The sequence below is a fragment of the Homo sapiens genome, chromosome 16 (assembly GCF_000001405.40).
Source record: "Homo sapiens chromosome 16, GRCh38.p14 Primary Assembly".
NCBI lineage: Eukaryota > Metazoa > Chordata > Mammalia > Primates > Hominidae > Homo > Homo sapiens.
Window position 1 is genome coordinate 46513355 of NC_000016.10, and position 26237 is coordinate 46539591.

The following is a 26237-nucleotide window of genomic DNA, read 5'->3' on the forward strand; positions in this document are numbered from 1 at the left end:
CCAAAAGAAAGGAAATTAATGTATCAAAGAGATATCTGCACTCCCATGTTTATTGCAGCACCATTCACAATAGCCAAGATTTGGAAGCAACCTATGCCTTTCACAACAGACAAATGGATAAAGAAATTGTGCTACATATACACAATAGAGTACTAATCGGCCATGAAAAACAATTACATCCTGTCATTTGCAACAGCATAGATGGAACTGGTGGTCATTATGCTGACTGAAATAAGCAAGACACAGAAGAACCAACTTTGCATATTCTCATTTATTTTTGAAAACTAAAAATTAAAACAATTGAACTAATGGAGATAGAGTATAATAATGATTACCACAGGCTGGGAAGGGTGATGGGGCAGTGTTGGGGGAGGATGAGGTGATGGTTAATGGGTGCCAAAAAATAGAATGAATAAGATCTAGTATTTGACAGCTCAACAGTGTGACTAAAGTCAATAATAACTTAATTGTACATTTAAAAATAACTAAAACAGTATAATTATATTGTTTTTAACACAAAGGATAAATCCTTGAAGTGATGGATATCCTATTTACTGTGATATGATTATGATACATTGTATGCCTGTATCAAAATATCTCATGTACTCCATATCTACACCTACCTTGTACCCAAAAAATTAAAAATTAAAAATATACTTAAAAATTTAGTAGAAACATCCCTACATAGTAATGCAGTATACTATTCTCTGCTTCATGGTAGTACCTTACTGATGATTTCCAAAATGACTGTTTACACTTTTATCGATGTGCACCCTGTTCCCAATATCTGAAATGTTTTCCTTTACTATTCTGACAAATTTATTTTCTTCTTTTAAAACAGGTGGCTATGTGAAGTCTTCCTTGATTCTGGTGATTTTTTTAATTAATATCTTTATTCCCCAGATAACCAGGTGTCTCCTTCCTTGGGGCTGCCTTAGTATTTTATTAATTTTTCTACTGAATCTTTACCACCTGAACTGTACATTATTGCTTTACATGAATATCCCCTTTGCTCCTACACAATAGGGGACAACTTGCAAATCATCTTTGTATAAACAGCCTTTATATATTTTACTCAGCATTATTTATGGAGTCCTGCTATATGTCAGGCACCAGGGCTTAAAGAATGAAAATGAAGCATATAGAAAAAATACAGAAAATTAGCCACACATGGTGGTGTGTGCCTGTAATCCCAACTACTTGGGAGGCTGAGGCCGGACAATCGCTTGAACCTGGGAGGCAGAGGTGGCAGTGAGCCGAGATTGCACCATTGCACTCCAGCCTGGGCAACAAGAGTGAAATTCCATCTCAAAAAAATTAAAAAAAAAGAAGTCATTTTAAGAAGTTTTCTCTGGCTATTAGAATATACTAGTGCTCCTGTTTTTAAAGAGACATACTGTCAATCGACTTATTCTATGACTACAGTTTTTACCTTCTTCTTGCCCATTTACTACATATTTTGTCTTACAGTCTGTAGCCCCAGATACCTGACTGCCACCATTCTCTGCGTGATTCTTGGAGATCTTCTGTAAAAATTAATAATAACAATGAGTTTCAAGAAGATGAAAAAGAAGTAGTAGTTACATAAAGATTTCCCAAACACTTTCTTTTAAAGAAGGTGTTTTTCATTCAGATAACTTCAAAATAAGAAAAGCATGTGTTGGGAACCTAAATTATTCAATAGAGAACCTTACATAGATAGGCTGTCTAAATCAAACTTATTTTTTATCTTCACAGGGCTACTGCCTCTGCACACCCAGACTAAAAGCCTACAAGAAATATATTCACAGACCAAATAATAACTTACGTGCATATTGCAGCAAGAGACTAACTTCATAATTCCTAACTCCACCCTACATTCCCAACCAAAAATAAAAGACCATTTAAAATATGACATAACACACTTGGTGTTACACTTAAAGCATTAAATATTTAAATATTTAATACTAAATATTTAAAAGATTTCTAGTTACAGAAAATGTAAATGTTAAGACAGCACAATAAGAAACATGTGGCGTACATCATGTTGCGTTTAAACAGAACATGGTAGAAGCTCCTTCATTTAGATAAACAAGGGCTTGGAGAAATCTACACAGTCTTTGATATTTTTACTGATAGAAAAAATGGTTGAATACAACCACAAAGCAATGAGAAAACCTTTAGTTTATGTCTACATATAAGTAAGCAAATATTAGATATAGTAAGCAACACTCTCCCAGTAAAAAAAAACTTCAACAAAGTATATCAAGCCTTAGTATAAAAAGCAGAACAAGGCTGGGCGCGGTGGCTCATGCCTGTAATCTCAGCACTTTGGGAGGCCGTGGCTGGTGGATCACCTGCAGTCTCAAACTCCTGTTGGAGACCCACCAGGCCAACATGGCAAAACCCCACCTCTACTAAAAATATAAAAATTAGCTGGGTGTGGTGGCATGCTCCTGTAATCCCAGCTACTCCGAAGGCTGAGGTAGGAGAAGCCCCTGAACCCGGGAGGCGAAGATTTCAGTGAGCCAATATCACGCCATTGCACTCCAGCCTGGGCGAGAAGAGTGAAACTCCATCTCAAAAAAAAAAAAAGCAGAACAAGAACATTCAGAACATTCATTTGTGAAGCATTTAAAATGTGCCAGGCAACTTAATTTCACATTTTCTTTTCTACACATTATACTAATAAAAATAATGATGATGATGAAGATGATGATGGTAACCCCACTTTCTGGTCATTCCAGGATGTTAACAAGAACATGATGAACAGATGAGATCCACTGTTTCCTCTCTGTCCAGAATGTCCTCCTCCTAGACTTTCCCATGGCTGGCTCCTTTCATCCTTTAGTTGACAGTTTCAATGTCACATGCAGAAACATCTCCTCTGACTATAGAACTTTACTGCCACTCCCATCCCCATGCTAACTACAAACCTCTCCAATAATCTCTGTCTTCTCTGTTTTCTTTATAGGAAGCACATTCAACTTATAAGACTGGGTTATTTACTTGTTTTTCTCTTCTTGCTGCTGTAACCTAAGCCCCCATCATCGATATTCAGTCTCTAGTTGCCTAGCAGAGTTGGTGCTCAACAGCAGAAATTCACTCAAGGTCAAAACACTTAAATATCCATGGGAATGTCTCAAGCACCAAACCACTAGATTCCTAGAAGAGTTCTCTAGTAATAGTTTGCTGAAACTCCATGTTCCCCAAACTAGAAATCCACATGCCCACTCTGACTTTCCCAAACTTTTCTTGATGCTATTGTCATTTTATTGTCCTCTGAGTTTACATGAAGCATCCTCAATACTTATTGAGCCACCGAATACCCCTGTGGATCACTTTATTATACATTAGTGTACACACTTTCAAGTTTACAAAATGCTTTCCAATTTTTTAGCACATTTGTTCATTACACATGCCTAAGAGGTACATACTAGTACCCTTTTTATGAAGGGCATCACTCGACATTCAAATAGGTTAAATAATTTTTACCAGAAATTCATAGCTAGTAAGTAAAAGCACCAGGATAACAACATGTCTTTTGACCAACTTGGTGCTGGTATCACAATACAGCTACTGCTTCTAAGAAGCCAGGCCCCTTCATCTCTTTCTACTGTTGTCACCTTAGAATAGTCTTCATTTACCATAAAGGTACTCAATGTTTTCTTTTTTAAAATATGATTTCTACTTAATAAAACACCACTAAACCAAAATACTGTGTTTATAGCTTCACTTATTTACAACTCCCCATGCTTTTGCTTCTTCTGAAATTTTTTTGCAGATCTATACTAGTCAATCCAAACACGGTAGTATTTTAAGTCCCAGGCATTGTCTTTTCAGGTTTCAAGTTGTACAAAACTACAGTCCAAACTCTTTCTCTCTGAATCTCGTTAGCACTTTTACACATCCAGGTAGAACACAGAATCATGCATTCAGCCATATATCGACATGGAACAATTTTTTAGTTTCTAGATAAACTTAACTTTAGAGCCCAAACTGATTCCTTGTGACTTCTAACCCTGATATTTTTTGCGCTATATGACACTGGCTTTTTACACGAATCCTCCAAATTAACAGAATTGTACTATGCAGCAGTGATATACTTTGTACATAACTACTGTACTAATTATGGGCTGATAATGGAAGAATATAAATTTTTTGAGACGGAGTCTTGCTTTGTTGACCAGGCTGGAGTGCAGTGGCACGATCTCAACTCACTGCAACCTCCACCTCCTGGGTTCAAGTGATTCTTCTGCCTCAGCCTCCTGAGTAGCTAGGATTACAGGTGCACACCACCACATCTGGCTAATTTTTGTATTTTTTTTAGTAGAGACTGGGTTTTGCCATCTTGACCAGGCTGGTCTCAAACTTCTGACCTCTGGTGATCCACCCGCCTCGGCCTCCCAAAGTGCTGGGATTACAGGCGTGAACCACCTTGCCTGGCCAGAAAATAATTATTTATGGGCATATGCAGAGGTGCAAAAGTGAAGTGAAAGCATTCTCTTTTATGTTGTAATATCACTGAATGCTTATTTTCTAAAATAATAACTGCAGCAATAACAATATATAATACCTTGCTGTCCAAATGTGATTGCATGTCTTCCTTTTGTCCTGATTTTACTGTGAATGGCATATCTATAAAATGTTATACACAGATACATTCATGAGAAAATTTATCACTATGAATTTTATATACCTATACAGGTTTGTCTTCACCCATAAATATTTCAGTGAAACAAAAGTAATAACAAAAAGAAAAAGAAAAAGAATTTCAGGGAATTGAGGAATTGAAGTAGTTTTAGGAAAAAGTTGGTAGTATAAAGAAAGACAGAAAAAAATTGTGGAAAAGAAATGAATATTATGTTTGGATCTATATAGTTCAGTGGTTTTTCTACTGAAAATACTTAATATACACTGTTTTTCAGAGATATTCACTAACTTACCACCTCGAACATTTCTGAATCAAAATTAAATGTTTTCATTATTTGTGTGCTCTTGTGGAGCACTCTCAATAATACCCATACCATTTTGTCTTTTTCCATTTGCTGGCTCTGTTGCTTTCTCCTATTAAAAAGAAAAGAACAGCAACTTCAGAAAACATTGTATTTACTCACTCACCCACTCTGTCAGTAAGACAAAAAAAATGTGCTGTTTATCAAATCATAAGCAGTATTTGGGGAGAAGCTAAAAATATAAATAAAAGTCAGATCCTGCCTTATATTTCAGTGAGGGTAGAGATATATAAAAGGTAATAAAAACAGAAAAGTGTAATCCATGAGTTCTACAACTAAAGTGAATAAAGTAAGTACAGGCACAAGGAAGAGAACAATCAGTTCTACTTGGGAAGCTCAGGAAATGCTGCAAAGATAGAGCCATATTTTGAAACATAGACCAAGTACACAGTGAGGGTAGGAAGGGTTTCTAGACAGAGAAGCATGCTCAAAAGAAGCATGCATGAAATGACAGGGCAAATGAAGGGTACCAAAATAATGCAGTAAAAGTGGAACATAGTCAGAGGGAATGGAATGGAGAGATAAAATGGGAGAATCAGGCCAAACCACAAGATATGGGCCACACTAGAGTGTGAACTTACCCCATCATGCAATGGGGAACAATTCAAAAGCAGATGAGTTATATATCATTATAAATATATTTTATAAAAGTCACCTTGGCAGCAACAAAAAGATAGAGATGAACATGGTGTGGGGAAGATTAAGAGTATTTCAAAATTATGAGTCAGAGAGTGAATTATGATAATGAGATATAAAAAATGCTTAGCAGGTAGAAAATATAGAATTTGCAAGGGACTGAACTGATGATTTGAGAAAGGGCTGAAAGGTAGAAATTTTCCTGCTTCATTGTTTCAGTGCTACTTACTAGGTGTTATTTCCTAGGATGATGAAACCAGATGACAGAGTAGATTACAAAACATCAGGAAAGGGTCAAGGACAATGTCTTCAGTGTGGGACATAACAAATTTGAGGCACCCAGAAAGCAAGAGTGGATGACCTTACTCAGGAAAAGCACACAATGTGAAGAAGAGGAATATTTTTAAATTATACTAAACTCAGAATTAAATCATGCAAAACTATACACTTTTCTGAAATTTTGAAAATGAAAACAAGAGGAGAAAAAATCTTGAGATTCAAAATTTCTATTATATATTTCAACATTTGTTTCAAGGATATACAATATATTTTACTAATATACACAAATATTTATTTCTGAAATATTATGGTAATATGCATTTTAAATTGAATGAAAAGATGTAATTCTAAAACATCAACTCAAGATGCTGCTCAAGCAGGACCCCATATTCACATGAGGAGAGAAAATGGGTACTAAAAAATCAAGTCAGGCCAGGCACGGTGGCTCACTCCTGTAATCCCAACACTTATGGAGGCAGAGGTGAGAGGATAGCTTGAGTCCAGGTGTTTGAGACCTCCCTGGGCAATATAGTAAGACCCCATTCTCCACACACAAAAATCAAGTCAGCAGAATTCCTGAGTTTTAGAGATGCAAGAATTTATGTATAAGGTTTAACAACTATGAATACTAAAGTTAATAAAGCTTCCTGACAATAACATAAAATGTCTTTATTGCCAGAGATATTTTTAAAATTAGAAAATCATCTTCTAGAGATAACTGTTCATACTTTCTTGGAAATCTTAACTTTCTTATAATCCTATGATAACAGGTAGTTTATTTTAGAAAATCATAAATTTTGATTGCATTTTGATGTGTGCATGTGTGTTGATTATATACCAATATTATTAGAAATCAGGATACCTCCAGAAATAATTTCTGAATTTATCTCATTTACTTTAATATTTTTATTTATTTTTGTGGGTACCTAATAGGTACATTATGCAATATCAATACATATTTATAAGATACATGAGATGTTTTGATATAGGCATGCAATGTGAAATAAGCACATCATGGAGAATGGAGTAACCATCCTCTCAAGCATTTATCCTGTGAGTTATAGGCAATCCAATTACATTCTTTAAGTTATTTAAAAATATACAATTATTATTGACTATACTCACCTTATTATGCTAACAATAGTAGGTCATATTCATCCTTTCTATTTTTTGTACCCATTAACCATCCCCAACTCCTGCCAAACCCCACTACCCTTCCCAGCCTCTGGTAACCATCCTTCTACTCTATGCCCAAAAGTTCAATTGTTTTGATTTTTAGAACCCAGAAACAAATGAAAACATGCAATGTTTGTCATTCTGTGTCAGGCTTATTCGACTTAACGATCTCCAGTTCCATCCACGATGGTGCAAATGATTGGATCTCATTCTTTTTATGGCTAAATAGTACTCCATTGTATATCTGTACCATATTTTCTTTATCCATTCATCTGTTGATGGAACCTTAGGTTGCTTCCAAATCTTAGCTATTGTAAATGGTGCTGCAACAAACATAGGAGTGTAGTTATTTCTTTGATATATTGATTCCCTTTCTTTTGGATATATACACAGCAGTGGGATTGCTGGATCATATTGTAGCTCAATTTTTAGTTTTTTTAGGCATATCTGAACTGTTCTCCATAGTGGTTGTACTAATTTACATTCCCATCCATAGTGCACAAGGGTTCCCTTTTCTTCACATCCTCACCAGCATTTGTTGTTGCCTGTCTTTAGGATATAAGCCATTTGAGCTGAGGCGAGATAATATCTCATTGTAGTTTTGATTTGCATTTCTCTGATGATCAATGATGTTGAGTACCTTTTAATATGCCTGTTTTCCATTTGTGTGTCTTCCTTTGAGAAATGTCTGTTCAAATCTTTTGCCCATTTTTTGATTGGATTATTAGATATTTTTTCTATAGAGTTGTTTGAGCTTCTTACATATTCTGGTTATTAATCCCTTGTCAGATGGGTAGTTTGCAAACATTTTCTCCCATTCTGTGGATTGTCTCTTCATTTTGTTGACTGTATCCTTTGCTGTGCAGAAGTTGTTTAACTTGATGTGATCTCATTTGTCCATTTTTGCTTTTGTTGCCTGTGCTTGTGGAGTATTGCTCAAGAAATTTTTACTTAGACTATTGTCCTAGAGATTTCCCCAAAGTTTTCTTATACCAGTTTCATAGTTTGAGGTCTTAGATTTAAGTCTTTAATCCATTTTTATTTGGCTTTTGTATATGGTGAGAGATAGGGGTCTAGGCGAGATGCGGTGGCTCCCGCCTATAATCCCAGCACTTTGGGAGGCTGAGGTGGGCGGATTACCTGAGGTCAGGAGTTTGAGACCAGCCTGGCCAACATGGTGAAACCCCTTCTCTACTAAAAATAGAAAAATTAGCCAGGCATAGTGGTGGGTGCCTGTAATCCCAGCTACTTGGGAGGCTGAGGCAAGAGAATCACTTGAACCCGGGAGGCAGAGTTGCAGTGAGCCAAGATCGTGCCACTGCACTCCAGCCTGGGTGACAGATTCAGACTCCATCTCAAAAACAAACAAACAAAACAAAACAAAAAACCAAACAAACAAAAAAAAACATAGTGGTCTAGTTTCATTCTTCTGCATACAGATACCCAGTTTTCCCAGCACCATTTATTGAAGAGACTGTCTTTTCCCCCAGGGTATGTTCTTGGTGCCTTTTTCAAGTATATGTTCACTATTGGTATGTGGCTTTGTTTCTGCGTTCTCTATTCTGTTGCATTTGTCTGCTTTTATGACAATACCATGTGTCTGCTTTTATGACAGTACCATGATGTTTTGATTATTACAGCTTTGTAGTATAATTTAAAGTCAGGTAATGTGATTTCTCCAGATTTCTTATTTTTGCATAGGATAGCTTTGTCTACTCTGGGTCTTTTGTGGTCCCATATAAATTTTAGGACAGTTTTTTCTATTTCCATGAGGAATGTAATTGATATTTTGATGAGAATTGCATTGAATCTGTAGATTCTTTGAGGTAGTATGAAACTTTTAACAATATTGATTCTTCCAATTCATGAACATAGAATATTTTCCATTTTTTGGTGTTCTATTCCATTTCTTTACCAATGTTTTATGGTTTTCATTGTAGAGATATTTCACTTCTTGAGTTAAGTTAGTTCCTAGGTATTTAATTTTACATGTAGCTGTTGTAAATAAGATTACTTTCTTATTTCTTTTTCATATTGTTCACTGTTGGCATCTAGAAATGCTACCAATTTTTGTGTGTTAATCTTGTATCTTGCAACTTTACTGAATTCATTTATCAGTTCTAATAGTTTACTTGTGGAGTCTTTAGGTTTTGTCACATATAAGATCATATCATCTATAAACAAGGATAATCTGACTTTCTCCTTTCCAATTGGATGTCTCTTATATCTTTCTCTTGTCTGATTGTGCTGGCTAGAACTTCCAGTACTATTTTGAATAACAGTGATGACAGTGAGCATTCTTGTCGGTTCCACATCTTAAAGGAAACCCAAATTTGGGTTCCCCGTTCAGTACAATACTAGCTGTGGGTCTGTCATACATGGCTTTTATTGTTGAGATATGCTCCTTCCATATCCAGTTGAGGGTTTTTATCTTGAAGGGATGTTGAATTTTATCAAATGCTTCTTTGGCATCAATTAAAATTATCATATGCTTTTTATCCTTCATGCTGTTGATATGATGTGTCATGCTGATTGATTTGCATATGTTGAACCATCCTTGCATCTCAGGGATGAATCCCACTTGGTTGTGATAAATGATCTTTCTAATATATTGTTGAATTCACTTTGAAAATATTCCATTGAGGATTTTTGCACTTTAAATATGTCATGCCACTCTCTTACATGCCTCCTTACATGCCTGTAAGGAGGTTTCCACTGAAAAATCAGATTCCAGATGCATTGCGGCTCCATTGTCTGTTGTTTCTTTTCTCTTCCTGCTTTTAGAATCCTTTCTTTATCCTTGACCTTTGGCAGTTTGATTAACAAATGCTCTGAGGTAGTCTTCTTTGGGTTAAATCTGCTTGATGTTCTATGACCTTCTTGTACTTGGATATTAATATCTTTCTCCAGGTTTAAGAAGTTCTCTGTTATTATCCCTTTGAAAAAAAATTTCTTTCTTTCTTTCCTTTTTTTTTTTTTTTTGAGATGGAGTCTCACTCTGTTGCCCAGACTGGATTGCAGTGATGTGATCTCAGCTCACTGCAATCTCCACCTCCCAGATTCAAGTGATTCTTATACCTCAGCCTCCCAAGTAGCTGAGACTACAGGCATGTATCACCACACCTGGCTAATTTTTGTATTTTTAGTAGAGACGCGGTTTCACCATGTTGGCCAGGCTGGTCTCAAACTCTTGACCTCAGGTGATCCACCTTCCTTGGCCTACAAAAGTGCCAGGATGACAGGCTTAAGCCACCACGTCCAGCCTATATTTCTTGAAAAAGATGAAATTCTGTTTTTATAAGACTGGCTCTAATAAAGATGAACATTAGTGGTTTATTAGGGATATGGGCAAATCTGTCAAATTGCCACATCTCTGACAGCTGCTGTGTGAGGCTCATGAGTAGTGACTACTGAGTGGCCAGGACAGCAACAGGTGCTGCAGGAACAGGTGCTTCCTCACTGGTCACTGTATCTTGAAAACCCATGGCCCATGTCCCAAGGCATGGAAAGAGTTGGGGGGAGCCTCCCCACAGAAGCCACCATCACCTCAGGCCATGAGAAGTATTGCTAGACTACGGTCTATGTTCTCTTAAGGCCCAAGGTCTCTCAAGTCAGCTTGTCATAAATGCTGCCTGGCCTGGGACTCACCCTTCAAGGCTGTGGGCTCCCCTCTGGACCAGAGCATGTCCAAAAATGCCATCCAAGAGTCAAGTCTTAGAATCAGGGACCTTCAAGAGCCCACTTGGTGCTCTACTCCCCACCCCCATGGCCGTGCTGGTGCCTAAGGTGCAAGACAAAGTCCCCTTTATTTTTCCTTCTGCTTTTCTTAAGCAGAAAATATTTTGCCCTATAGCCACCACAGCTGGTTATATGCTGAGTCTCACCTCAGGCCAGCAAGTCACAGAGGCTCACCCAAGGCCTTTGATGTAGTACCTGGGTGTCACCGTTGTTTATTAAGGGCCTAAGGGCCCTTCAGTCAGCAGGTGAGGAATACTGCCAGTCCAGGACTGGGTCCTTTCCTTCAAGGCAGCGGGTTCCCTTCTGGCCCAGGGTGTGTCTAGAAATGTCATCAGAGAGCCAGGGCCTGGAATGGGGGCTCCCAACTCTGACCAGTGCCCTATCTTGCTGCTGTGGCTCAGCTGGTATCTTAGATGTAAAACAAAGTGCTCCCCGCTCTGTCTTCTCCTCTCCTCGGACAGAAGGAAGGGGCCTTTATCGGAGCTGTGAGCTGTGCAGCCTGAGGTTAGGGGAGGGTTGATGCCAACACTCCCTTGGCTACCCCAGCTGGTATCTCAATATGGCATATCTTCCCCACCCAGCTTGTTGTCTCTTGGCCTAGCTCAGCACTAGGACTCATCTGTGAGTCGCAGTCCTTATGGCCTAGACTGTCTTTTGACATTACTTGGAGACACAGGGTGCTGTAGCCCTCAGTGGCAAGGTTTACAGGCACTTAAATTCAGACCACTGGGACTGGTGATTTTCCTCTGGCTAGGGCTGGTTTAAATACTCCCTCCATGGGTGGACATCAGCTGAGTTTGGTCTAATTTTCCTTTTTGCTCTAACAGAACAGCACTGAGTTCACAGCCTCACACTTGCTGTGTTCTCCCTCCCCCAGCACTCAGAGACACTCTCCACACTACGTCAGGCTGCTAGGGATGGGGGAGGGGTGATGTCAGCCATTCAGGACTTTAAAAAATCTCTTCAGTGCCTCTTTCAGTGACATTAAGTTAAAACTAGGTACTGTGAGTGTTCACCTTACTTTTGGTTATTATGAAGTTGTTTTTTCCTGTGTAGATAGTTGTTAACTTGGTGTTCTTGTGGTGGTGGGGAACAGTGGAATTTCTATTTCTCCACCTTCTTCCCTGAATTTATTTAAGAGGATTTTACCTTGAAATTTATTTTCTCACCGAATGGATAAAATTAAGAACCTCCTTTATAAACCAGAAATTTTAACTAACGAAAAGATTAAATATAATGTATTTATTTATTTTCTTTATTCTCAGAAACATCTAAAATGGCTCTCAAGATTATATGAAAGAGTAAGATAAATTAGTTAAGTCATGGATATGCCAAACACTAAGTTAGAAAACTTAAACAAGAAGCAAGAGTCAAAAATTAAGAATTCATAGTAAATCTGATAAGGCCTAAAACAGATTTCACTGTGCATTATTTATAAACAAGGTTTTACTAGATCAAATATATGATATAACTTTGCTAAATTCAAAGATGTGAGGATATAAATTTCCTTTTTAAAAACTGATACATAATAGATGTGCATATTTTTGAAGTAAATGTGATAATTTGATACATTCATATAATCAAATCAGGGTAATTGGGGTACCCATCACCTTAGTTTTCTTTCAAATGTATAGTAGATTAATGTTAACTATAGTCACCCTTATATTTTCTTTCAGTTCTTCATAAAAATCAGCTATAAGACATTCAGAGGAATCTCAGCAATTTTTTTTATTACCTGTCTTTCTTTTCTTAATTTGCATTTAAAATAAGTTCTATCATATTTTATAATGTAAAGAGTTCCTGTGCTCATTAAATCCCACAGTTTCTGATGTGTTTTTACAATAATCTGACAACTTGACTCTGTTACTCAATCTTTACATTTATCTTGCCTCTCTTTAATAAATTCTTTCCCTTCATCCCCCTCTTTAGCTCCATATTCGTTAAGCTGCTGTGGTGGGTTGCTTTCTAATTCTTTAGCATAAGTTATTTCTGTTCTGTTTCTCAAAAAGCTAAGGACAAATCATTGTATCAATTCAGCTCCTTCCAAGAAACAGAGAAAAAAAGAATAAATCTTGTAGGGCAATGATAGATGAATAAAAGTCTCACATAGCTACTACGTAGAAAGCTACACTAAGTATGCTGGCAGTAAAGACACATGGATTGAAAGAAGAGACGTTGTAGAGAATGTGTTCTAGGAGGAAAAACATAGGTTGGGATAAATCACTTTTAAAAGATTGGGAAGGAGGGAGAAAGAAAGAAACAAACAAACAAAAAGACATAACTTGACCAGTCAATCAAGTTTGAGCTTGAAAGAAAGCCAAGGAATAAAGCCAAAGCCAAGGAAAAGGAGAAAAACATCACATACAGTAAGGTACATGGAGAAATATAGATGTAGAGACTTTGGTTCATAGTATATTTCCAATAATACTGAGTAGTATTTATAACTAGCTTTTGGTAAACATTTCTGTGATATAGAATTGAATTGTATACTGTAAAACGAGACATTCAATTAGTTAAATATGGTCATATACCACTACCTAAAAGCTGGAACATTACTACCTCAGAGAGAGAAAAATGGAAAAAGAAATATTCCATTAACTTTCTACTTGGAGGAAAAATACTAATCAGAATTCTAAGCAGTAATATATGGATTGAAAACATATATTTAGCAGAACATGGGTTGGGGCTTTTAAAAGTTTAAATATTTTAAATCTAAAATATTAATTTATGCTTATAGTTGGAAGACACTAGAAAAGATATTAACACTTTAACCCTATTTCCTATTGATGATCTATTTCTAATTTATTTTCTTATTTATGACACACTTTTTCAATATAACTCATCTGAATTTATACATCCTAAATATTAAAAGGGAATATAAATTTAGGCTATATCTTATAAATGAATGGATTTATTTATTAGATATGTTACGCATATTATATTATTGCTAACATTCCATTGTATAGAAATGCATTTGTCTTTTCATTCGTAGTACTCCAGGATACAAAAAAAAAAAAAATTCCCTAACCTCCAGTAGCTCATAGTAATAAAGGAGTTTTTAAATGATTACTAAATAAATACAAAAACTTCTGAAATTTGAAATTTTAGCATGTGATGTAAGGATTTAGTTTGGATATTTTTAAGAACTACAATACAAATAATTCTGAAATTAAGTCCCACCATATGGTTATTAAGAGTCTTTGCTTCTAGAACTGGTTGTTATTTTGGACAAAGCAACTATTCTTCAATTAGGTGAAGAGTTTTAAATGTAGTCTTAATGAAATGACATAGAAAACACAGTGGAATCTCATTGTAATAAAGATTTTGAGAAACAAAATGTAAATTTCTGAATTTCCACAATTTTTTTAAAAATCAGAGGCAGGTTCTTGCTATGTTGCCCAGGCTGGTCTCAGACTCCTGGGTTCAAGCAATTCTGCCACCTCAGCCTCCTGAACAGCTTGGACTGCAGGCATGCACCACCATATCCAGCTAAATTTTCACAATTTCTAATATTATTTTAGTCTAGTTACATAACCAAGGATAGAAATAGGAAAAAATCTCACACCTAAAAACTATATATATCATACTAAAATAATGTGTCTAAGAAAGAAAAGTATATGCTATCTGCTGTACAGTTTTTGAACCAAAAGGCATCAAGGAGATTCCATGATTACTATAATAAGTAATTAGATCCATTAAAGACTTATTTAGGCATAAGTATTATAAAAGCCATCTTGGTATAATTTAAAAGTCACACACAGTAAGAATACTTATTCAAATCAACCTTGACCAAATTTCAAACTTGCTCTATTATGAGAAAGCTTTGCCTAATATAATTTTCCTGTCACTATGTATTTTCCAGCCCATTGTTTTTTCACCCTCACTCCCTCTACATATTTGCCAAGTCTTTGTTATTTATCAAAGTAAAAAATGTTTGAAAATGTTTAGTCATGTTTCTATAAAATGGTTTTCTCTAATGAACTTTCCATAACCAACATAATACGATTATAAGTAGATTACTACTAAATTTCAAGAGAAAATGTTACAGAAAATTAGATTCAGAATGAGAAAATTAATTTTGCAAGAGACGTCTTTACCTCAGTATCAAAATCAAAGTCTTCATTAGCTGACATAGGTCGTGAGTCGTCAATAGATGGTTTGTTGAAAAGCCTTTAGAATAAAAATATACAACAAAAATGAGTGTGTTCATTTCTTTAAGCAATTTGAAGGTTCATAACTGGGTGCCCTCCCAAAACAAAACAAAAAAAAAAAGTAAATCTTGTGGAAGGTCAGCTATCTGTATTTAAAATAATGTCTCTTAACATAATTAAAATTTGGCCTCTGTTGTGGGAAAGATCTTAATTACCTATTTCTACTTCCTCCTCTCCAAAGCTATGGAATAGTCCATGAAGACTCACCCTTAGTTCCATAACAAATCATGACAGCTAATATATTGGTAGAGCCTAAGAATAATTGGGCTTCACAAATTATTTGTCCTGGAGGCAGAACTTAAAATCCAAGTAATGGCTGACATAACTTTTGTTACCTGAACTGGAAGAAACCTGATAACTTAAAATAAAGTAAAAAGATCCACTGTCCCTTCTCCATGATCTATCTCTGGTTCAAAGACCAATCTGTGTCACTTGAAAATGGCAGTCCTGGTTCTTCTGCTTGGAAACCTCTTAAGGAGGCCCCCATTGCTTCCCTTTTCCTTAAAATAGTACAGAATCTTCCCTGACACATCTAAAATACTTGAAAGCTAAATGTATGAATGTCAAAGGACAAATGTATATATTGTTATTAAAAATACTCTTCCCGGAGATACTAAAACTTAATTATAAAATCTAATTATTTTCCCTAAATAGACTTTGCCAAATTCAGGGCCACATAAAGTACTAAGCTCTTAAAAACCTCCATAGGTACTCAGACACCAAAGGAGAGAGACTCCTGGAAAAACAGAGTCCTGGTAGTTGTATCTCTATTTCCCTGAGAACTATCTAAATATCTCCCTTCCTATGGGCTCCCACTTCCAGATCCCTCTTCTGCAGGGCTCTATGGCAGTCTCCAACCTTTAAATCTTCAGCCAATAAAAGCACAAATTCCTAAAAGAGTAAGCTCAAATGACCAAAAGACAGAGCTCTCAATTTTACTGCTGCTAGAAAACAAGCTAAATGGAATTTCAGTCGTCTTCCCCCGGCATAGGCATGTTATCAACTACCAAACTGAAGGTCCATGACTGATTTGCCAGACAATCATGGAAATGGGAAGGACAATTGGTGAATTGGGAAAAGAGGCAGAGGTAAGAGGATACGTGCTCTGGGGCACAGATCTATATAGTTCAGGAAACTTCAGTCCTCTAGTAGTGGAGGGACTCTGAGCCATCCCTCTATAAGTTGGGGTGGAAGTAGATAATACTACAATTCAATCTGCTATAGAGACTCTTCTCAGTGGCTCAAATTCTTTTAACATCTTTCAATAGAAACTTCGAAGTTGGGTCAGTCACTCTAATTAAACAAACAAAAGAGCAGCAACCTGTTCAAGACTCCCTTGAACCACCTACTTAAACATGCCTTTCTAGATAACTCCCAACATCCTGTATTCTTCATTACTATAATTTATCTTTATAAAACTTGTCATAAACCCCAATATTCACTTCTCTTTTCTAAAAACCTTATTCCTATCCAATCCAGTGTTATTTCTCTTCAAACATGGCCTTACCCTATTAATTTAATTCTTCTCCTCTTCCATTGGGTTCCCCAGCTAATTCCCTTCCTAGGCTCATCCACTGTGTTCACTAGACCCACTTTCCCTTTCTATTATTAAAACACTTACTAACAGGATGATAAAGAAGGAAGAGTAATGGGCTTTGAAATGAGTTCAAATCTCATTTCTGCCACTTCCTATATCCAAATAAGTCATCTTAATCTCTTTGAGTTTCAGATATTCCATCTGAACAACCACTTCACCAGAATGTTAAACACAGGTTGAAGTACTAGAGGGTATTTTGATTAGTCACTAAGATTCCTTAAAATCCTGAAGTTGTGTGTGCTTTTGATTCTGTCTATATAAAAATGGGGAATACTTAGCTGGCAGAAATGGAAAAATAAAACAAAAGAAACACCACAGAAAGCAGAGAAGAAAGTTAACAACTAAAGTAAAGATTACAGAAAAGTAATGGAAGAAGAAAAAAGGACTCTTAAAAAAAAGCCCATGGAATTAGGCAGGGTAGTAGCCTAAAGGGAAAACTAAACTAAGGAGTCAACAAGTAGAGAAATCAATTAGAAATAGGCTCTATTTAGATGCTAAATATAACTAACATAATAAATAAATGTAACATAAATAGCCTTCACTTACAATAAAATAATTCCTCTCTAGGATATGACTGGTCTTGTCTATGTAAAACCCATGGTCCTGTGGCCATAGCTAAGTGAGATCTACCCTAAAATATGTGATGGTAAAAACAAGATACTGATTACCACTGAAATTGCCAAATACATTAAAACAAACTCAGACTAACCAGACTTCTAAGAAAAACTATAAATGAGAGTTAACTAAATTTGACTTTCTGAATTGATCTGGTTTGGACCTGTGTCTTGATTCCAGTGTTGTACAGGTCTCTGCCAATCTATGCAGAGGGGCAAGAGAAGGGATTTGGGAGCCAGGCAGGCTGCCAGTCAAATCATGCGCCAGCGTTAACTATGGGGACATGGGGCAATTAATCAACCTCTCTGAACCACAGTTAGCTAATTAGGAAAAAGTAGGTTATAATAACAGAGAACCTTTCAAAGCTGCTGTGATAACTATATGAGATGAGACAAGCACATAAAATAGTGTCTACCCCAGAGTACAACACTCAACAGATGTTAGTTTCTTTTCTCTATATTCCCTCAGGTAACATATAATATTTTAAAATCTGTAAGTCGTACCTTTTTACAGGATTTCCAGGAATCTCATCCACTATTAAAGAAAAAAATGCATTTTAAGTCAACAATAGAAAAACACAGAATATTGAAAGTATAAGAGGGCCCAGTGACACATGCATGTAATCCCAACTACTCAGGAGGCTGAGGCCAGAGGATCACTTGAGAAGCCCAGGAGTTTAAGACCAGCCTGGGCAACATAGTGAGACTCTGCCTTCATTAAAAAAAATCATGTACATTTTTGTGCATGCTTTAGATCTTTCTTTTTTTTCACAAAGTATTCCTTTAGGACCATATCTTGAGACTATACTAGAATTAATATTGATTATACTACTGGTAGGCAATTACTATATTAAGAATCCTTACTTCTCCTCCTTTGTATCAGTCAAAGCAAAAAAGAATGGGATTTGCCAAAATGTGATACCTACAAATGAATTGCTGTGTACAATAATCATAATCCTAACCAAACCCTATCAGACTGACTAGCATCGCTAGCAAACTGAGTCAAACTTCAAGAACATGCTTTCTGGACTAATGAACTAGTAGTAGTTAGAACAGAGTATACAGTAATGCTCCCATATCCATGACATGGGTGAAAAAACACACTCAACATATTTTTCCTCTGCTCTCACACCACAGCAACAATCACCAACACAGAAGACATCTCTGACCAAATGTTGGTGGGCGAGGGGGATTTATCCCCACCAACAAGCAAGCAATCAGTTCAGCAGCAGACACCAGCTGAGTGTCCTCTAATTCCATTCCCACGTTGTCTAGCTAGAGATAGTGTCAGATCCCACAGCTGAAAGCTCAGTCCCCAAGGCTTCCCCCTCCCCAAACCAGTCACAAGCCTGGGCCTTCAGAACCTCTGACCAACTATCTTCAAGGTTCTCACAACCCCCACCTTGGATTGGATTAATTTGCTAGAGTAGTTCACAGAACTTAGGGAACCACTTACTTACATTTCCTGCTCATTGTAAAGGATATTAGAAAGGATGTAGATGAGGAAGTGCATAGGGCAAGGCATGGGAGAAGGGGTGCAGAGTTCCATACCCTCTGAGGGTACACCACCGTCCAGGAACCACCACATATTCAGCTATCTAGAAGTTCTCTGAACCCAGTCCTTTTGGGTTTTTATAGAAGTTTCATTACACAGGCATGACTGATTAAATCAATCGTCATTGGTGATCAACTTAAACTTCGGCCCCCCTCCCTTCCCATGAGATTGGAAGGTTGGAGGACGGGGCTGGAAGTCCTAACCCTCTAATCATGCCTTGGTCTTTCTGGTGACCAGCCCCCATCCTGAAGCTCATTAGGGGCTGCCAGCCATAATGAATCATTCACATACAAAGGGACATCACTTTGGGGATTCTAAGGATTTTAGGAGTTGTATGCCAAGAAAAGGGTTCAAAGATCGAATACATATTTCACAGTATCACATCTGTGGTTTTGCTTTCTGTGGTTTTAGTCACCCACGGTCACCTGATATAGTTTTGCTGTGTCCCCACCCAAATCTCATCGAGAATTGTAGTTCCCATAATCCCCATGTGTCGTGGGAGGGACCCTGTGGGAGGTAATTGAATCATGGGGGCAGTTATCTGCTGTTCTCATGAGAGTAAGTGAGTTCTCACAAGATCCGATCGTTCTATAAGGGGCTTTTTCTACCCTTTGCTCTGCACTTCTCCTTGCTCTTGCCATATGAAAGAGGATGTGTTTGCTTCCCCTTCCACCATGATTGTAAGTTTCCTGAAGCCTCCCCAGCCCTGCGGAACTGCGAGTCAATTAAACCCCTTTCTTTATAAATTATCCAGTCTTGGGTATGTCTTTATTAGCAGTGTGAGAAATGCTAATACATCACCCATGGTCCAAAAATGTCAAATGGTAAATTCCAGCAATAAGCAATTCATAAGTTTTATATTGTGTGCTGTTTTCAGTAGCATGATAGACTCTCCAGCCATCCCATTCCATCCCATCCACAACATGAATATCCCTTTGTCTAGTGTATCTACACTGTATATGCTATGTGCCCATTAGTCACTGACTTCATCTCCTCCTGATATCCAACCAACATCATCATCAAGGCTCATTAATCCAAGATTACTGGAAGCAGATGATCCTCTTTCTGAAGGTTAATGGTAGCCTAACACTACTTCACAATGCCTATATCATTCACCTCACTTCATCCCATTACAGAGGCATTGTATTACCTCACATCATCTTCATAAGAAGAAGTGTGAGTACAGTACAAGAAGATACTTTGAGGGAATATACATACATATATATGTATAAACTTTTTTATAGCATATGTGAAGTCCTAATTAGAAAAAACAAAAAAAGAGTCAGGCTGGCAGGGCAAGAAGAAAGCAAAGAGATAAAGCAAATAAGCTATGTCTTCCTTTCTTCATGGTCCAGAAACTATTTTTAAAAAGAGGAACCAAATAAGTTATAGGTCTCATTTTCTTTCTGGCCCAGGACATATGGCCCTCCAGCACAGATAATGTATATAAGTCACAAACTTCCTGCTCACCGCCAAACACTTTAATGTATCAAACCCCTCAGCTGACAGAAGAATGCAAGTTAGATCCCTGCTACCTTGGCATTATCAGTCAGCCTAAGAACCATCCTATAAAATTTCCAGCAAGGCTTTGATCCCTGGCAGTAGGCTTTTCTTTTGCAGGCTGCCCATTGCCTTCTTGCAACATATTTTCATATCTTCTATAATGAATCTGCCTTTCTCTAACTGTCTTGGTAAATTATTTTACTGCCATGCCACTGGCCCAGATAGTTGGTACTCCCCTATGACAGTATATTGTTATCATTGTTCTATTTGATTATTAGTTATTGTTGTTAAGCTCAGACTGTGCCTAAATCTTACATTAAACTTTATCACAGATTTATATGTATAGAAACAACATTGCATATATAGGGTTTGGTACTATGCAAACTCTCAGGAATTCATTGTGGGTCTTGGAACATATCCCCCATGGATAAAGGGAGACAACTGTACTTATTTTGTTGTCATACAACATAGCTTCTCCAGCTCTTCAGTTAAAATGCTTTAGTTTAGAATAAAATGCCCTATCACAAGGAAGCTAGGTCTATGGGCATCATACTATGTTTTATGGCAAAACATAGAAAATAGACCAGAGACAAAGATTCTTGCAAATCACTTTCAGCTGCCAGTGGAGAAGAGCTCAAGACAAATCAATGTACTCCTTCTCACTAATCCTCTTCTGGGAAAGAGGCTAGTTAAATTTACTTAGTTCTAGCTAATTTATCTGCCCTATGTGTGATATAAATAAGGTTCAAATTTACTTACCATTTTACCTCCCATGGAAAGAACTACTGAAAAGATCACTTCCTTAAGAGTTTGCCCACTCTGAACCCTACCACTTATTCAGAGAGAAGCTTAAGAAGGAACAGTGCGGAAGGGGTGCCAAATGTCCAGGGAGTACTATCTGATATAAAAAATATATAAAAACAAAATTATCAACTCACTCAAGCTACCCGAATTTGCCAAGAGTTATCACTGTGTCTAGTGAAAGAAAAAAAATTCTCTCTCACTTCATGTAAACCAAAACATTTTGATTCTCTTGGCATTTCTCATAACAGAGAATCTGGATGTAGATGAGCCATGCTATAATAATATGGACTGTATTCAAACTAATTCCCGAAAGGAAGGGAATCAGTGACAAACATATTTGTTGACCTATGGTATTCACTACCTGGTCTTATATTCCATTGCAAGGGATGTATGAAAGACTTTGTGATTTTAGTTTTATAAAGTACAACCTCTTGAGATTGTCCCTTCCTACTGCTAATGAGTCTATCAGGACCCACCTCATGGAGCAAAATGGTCCAGTTAGTGCTGTGTAGCACTGTGTAGTACCACGTGATGCCATTTTCCCCAACCCTCCCCATTATGTGGCAAGTGTCTATAGAAATCACACTTTCTCAGCATGTAAAGCATACGTCATCAGATCCTATGCTTATGAATAAAAGGAAAACTAAAGCAAGGACAGAGAACATCTTAAATGACTACATTCAATTACCACAGAACTTTAATTTTTTTAATATTCAAAATGATACCCACTGATATAGTTTGGCTCTGTGTCCCCACCCAAATCTCATCTTGAATTGTACTCCCATAATCCCCATGTGTTGTGGGAGGGACCTGGTGAGAGATAATTGAATTATGGGGGCGGTTTGTAAGTCTGATGAACTCTGTGGGAGATATTAAAAATGCGGAAGGAGGAGGCAGCCAAGATGGCCGAATAGGAACAGCTACGGTCTACAGCTCCCAGCGTGAGCGACGCAGAAGACGGGTGATTTCTACATTTCCAGCTGAGGTACCGGGTTCATCTCACTAGAGAGTGCCAAACAGTGGGCGCAGGACAGCAGGTGCAGCGCACCGAACACGAGCCGAAGCAGGGCGAGGCATTGCCTCACCCGGGAAGCACAAGGGGTCAGGGAGTTCCCTTTCCTAGTCAAAGAAAAGGGTGACAGACGGCACCTGGAAAATCGGGTCACTCCCACACTAATACTCCACTTTTCCGACGGGCTTAAAAAACGGTGCACCAGGAGATTATATCCTGCACCTGGCTCGGAAGGTCCTACGCCCACGGAGTCTCGCTGATTGCTAGCACAGCAGTCTGAGATCAAACTGCAAGGTGGCAGCGAGGCTGGGGGAGGGGTGCCCGCCATTGCCCAGGCTTGAGTAGGTAAACAAAGCAGCCTGGAAGCTGGAACTGGGTGGAGCCCACCACAGCTCAAGGAGGCCTGCCTGCCTCTGTAGGCTCCACCTCTGAGGGCACAGCACAGACAAACAAAAAGACAGCAGTAACCTCTGCAGACTTTAATGTCCCTGTCTGACAGCTTTGAAGAGAGCAGTGGTTCTCCCAGCACGCAGCTGGAGATCTGAGAACGGGCAGACTGCCTCCTCAAGTGGGTCCCTGAGCCCTGACCCCTGAGCAGCCTAACTGGGAGGCACCACCCAGTAGGGGCGGACTGACACCTCACACGGCCAGGTACTCCTCTGAGACAAAACTTCCAGAGGAATGATCAGACAGCATCATTCGCAGTTCACGAAAATACGCTGTTCTCCAGCCACTGCTGCTGATACACAGGCAAACAGGGTCTGGAGTGGACCTCTAGCAAACTCCAACAGACCTGCAGCTGAGGGTCCTGTCTGTTAGAAGGAAAACTAACAAACAGAAAGGACATCCACACCAAAAATCCATCTGTACATCACCATCATCAAAGACCAAAAGTAGATAAAACCACAAAGATGGGGAAAAACCAGAGCAGAAAAACTGGAAACTCTAAAAAGGAGAGCGCCTCTCCTCCTCCAAAGGAACGCAGTTCCTCACCAGCAATGGAACAAAGCTAGACGGAGAATGACTTTGACGAGTTGAGAGAAGAAGTCTTCAGACGATCAAACTACTCCGAGCTACAGGAGGAAATTCAAACCAAAGGCAAAGAAGTTAAAAACTTTGAAAAAAATTTAGACGAATGTATAACTAGAATACCCAATACAGAGAAGTGCTTAAAGGAGCTGATGGAGCTGAAAGCCAAGGCTCAAGAACTACATGAAGAATGCACAAGCCTCAGGAGCCGATCCCATCAACTGGAAGAAAGGGTATCAGTGATGGAAGATGAAATGAATGAAATGAAGGGAGAAGGGAAGTTTAGAGAAAAAAGAATAAAAAGAAACAAACAAAGCCTCCAAGAAATATGGGACTATGTGAAAAGACCAAATCTACGTCTGATTGGTGTACCTGAAAGTGACGGGGAGAATGGAACCAAGTTGGAAAACACTCTGCACGATATTATCCAGGAGAACTTCCCCAATCTAGGAAGGCAGGCCAACATTCAGATTCAGGAAATACAGAGAACGCCACAAAGATACTCCTCGAGAAGAGCAACTCCAAGACACATAATTGTCAGATTCACCAAAGTTGTAATGAAGGAAAAAATGTTAAGGGCAGCCAGAGAGAAAGGTCAGGTTACCCACAAAGGGAAGCCCATCAGACTAACAGCTGATCTCTCGGCAGAAACTCTACAAGCCAGAAGAGAGTGGGGGCCAATATTCAACATTCTTAAAGAAAAGAATTTTCATCCTAGAATTTCATATCCAGCCAAACTAAGCTTCATAAGTGAAGGAGAAATAAAATACTTTACAGACAAGCAAATGCTGAGAGATTTTGTCACCACCAGGTCTGCCCTAAAAGAGCTCCTGAAGGAAGCACTAAACATGGAAAGGAACAACTGGTACCAGCCACTGCAGAATCATGTCAAATTGTAAAGACCATCGAGGCTAGGAAGAAACTTCATCAACTAACGAGCAAAATAACCAGCTAACATCATAATGACAGGACCAAATTCACACATAACAATATTAACCTTAAATGTAAATGGACTAAATGCTCCAATTAAAAGACACAGACTGGCAAATTGGATAAAGAGTCAAGACCCATCAGTGTGCTGTATTCAGGAAACCCATCTCATGTGCAGAGACACACATAGGCTCAAAATAAAAGGATGGAGGAAGATCTACCAAGCAAATGGAAAACAAAAAAAGGCAGGGGTTGCAATCCTAGTCTCTGATAAAACAGACTTTAAACCAACAAAGATCAAAAGAGACAAAGAAGGCCATTACATAATGGTAAAGGGATCAATTCAACAAGAAGAGCTAACTATCCTAAATATACATGCACCCAATACAGGAACACCCAGATTCATAAAGCAAGCCCTTAGTGACCTACAAAGAGACTTAGACTCCCACACAATAATAATGGGAGACTTTAATACCCCACTGTCAACATTAGACAGATCAACGAGACAGAAAGTTAACAAGGATATCCAGGAACTGAACTCAGCTCTGCACCAAGCGGATCTAATAGACATCTACAGAACTCTCCACCCCAAATCAACAGAATATACATACTTTTCAGCACCACACCACACCTATTCCAAAATTGACCACATAGTTGGAAGTAAAGCTCTCCTCAGCAAATGTAAAAGAACAGAAATTATAACAAACTGTCTCTCAGACCACAGTGCAATCAAACTAGAACTCAGGATTAAGAAACTCACTCAAAACCACTCAACTACATGGAAACTGTATGACTACTGCTCCTGAATGACTACTGGGTACATAACGAAATGAAGGCAGAAATAAAGATGTTCTTCAAAACCAACGAGAACACAGACACAACATACCAGAATCTCTGGGACACATTCAAGGCAGTGTGTAGAGGGAAATTTATAGCACTAAATGCCCACAGGACAAAGCAGGAAAGACCCAAAATTGACACCCTAACATCACAATTAAAAGAACTAGAAAAGCAAGAGCAAACACATTCAAAAGCTAGCAGAAGGCAAGAAATAACTAAAATCAGAGCAGAACTGAAGGAAACAGAGACACAAAAAACCCTTCAAAAAATTAATGAATCCAGGAGCTGGTTTTTTGAAAGGATCAACAAAATTGATAGACCGCTAGCAAGACTAATAAAGAAGAAAAGAGAGAAGAATCAATTAGATGCGATAAAAAATGATAAAGGGGATATCACCAACGATCCCACAGAAATACAAACTACCATCAGAGAATACTACAAACACCTCTACGCAAATAAACTAGAGAACCTAGAAGAAATGGATAAATTCCTCGACACATACACCCTCCCAAGACTAAACCAGGAAGAAGTTGAATCTCTGAATAGACCAATAACAGGCTCTGAAATTGTGGCAATAATCAATAGCTTACTAACCAAAAAGAGTCCAGGACCAGATGGATTCACAGCGGAATTCTACCAGAGGTACAAGGAGGAACTGGTACCATTCCTTCTGAAACTATTCCAATCAATAGAAAAAGAGGGAATCCTCCCTAACTCATTTTATGAGGCCAGCATCATCCTGATACCAAAGCCGGGCAGAGACACAACCAAAAAAGAGACTTTTAGACCAATATCCTTGATGAACATTGACGCAAAAATCCTTAATAAAATACTGGTAAACCGAATCCAGCAGCACATCAAAAAGCTTATCCACCATGATCAAGTGGGCTTCATCCCTGGGATGCAAGGCTGGTTCAATATACACAAATCAATAAGTGTAATCCAGCATATAAACAGAACCAAAGACAAAAACCACATGATTATCTCAATAGATGCAGGAAAGGCCTTTGACAAAATTCAACAACCCTTCATTCTAAAAACTCTCAATAAATTAGGTATTGATGGGATGTATCTCAAAATAATAAGAGCTATCTATGACAAACCCACAGCCAATATCATACTGAATGGACAAAAACTGGAAGCATTCCCTTTGAAAACTGGCACAAGACAGGGATGCCCTCACTCACCCCTCCTATTCAACATAGTGTTGGAAGTTCTGGCCAGGGCAATTAGGCAGGAGCAGGAAATAAAGGGTATTCAATTAGGAAAAGGGGAAGTCAAATTGTCCCTGTTTGCAGATGACATGATTGTATATCTAG

The 26237-nt window shown here is 38.0% G+C and overlaps 1 pseudogene across 1 annotated transcript in view; it reads right to left on the reverse strand.

The window, feature by feature from the left end:
• Positions 1–26237, reverse strand: part of ANKRD26P1 (ankyrin repeat domain 26 pseudogene 1) — a 99761-nt pseudogene that overhangs the window by 44018 nt on the left and 29506 nt on the right. The window contains exons 7-9 of the transcript NR_026556.1: positions 17750–17780; positions 14921–14993; positions 4556–5046 (exon numbers count right to left, since the gene is read on the reverse strand). The product of NR_026556.1 is annotated as an ankyrin repeat domain 26 pseudogene 1 (transcript). The remainder of the gene's footprint in view (positions 1–4555; positions 5047–14920; positions 14994–17749; positions 17781–26237) is intronic.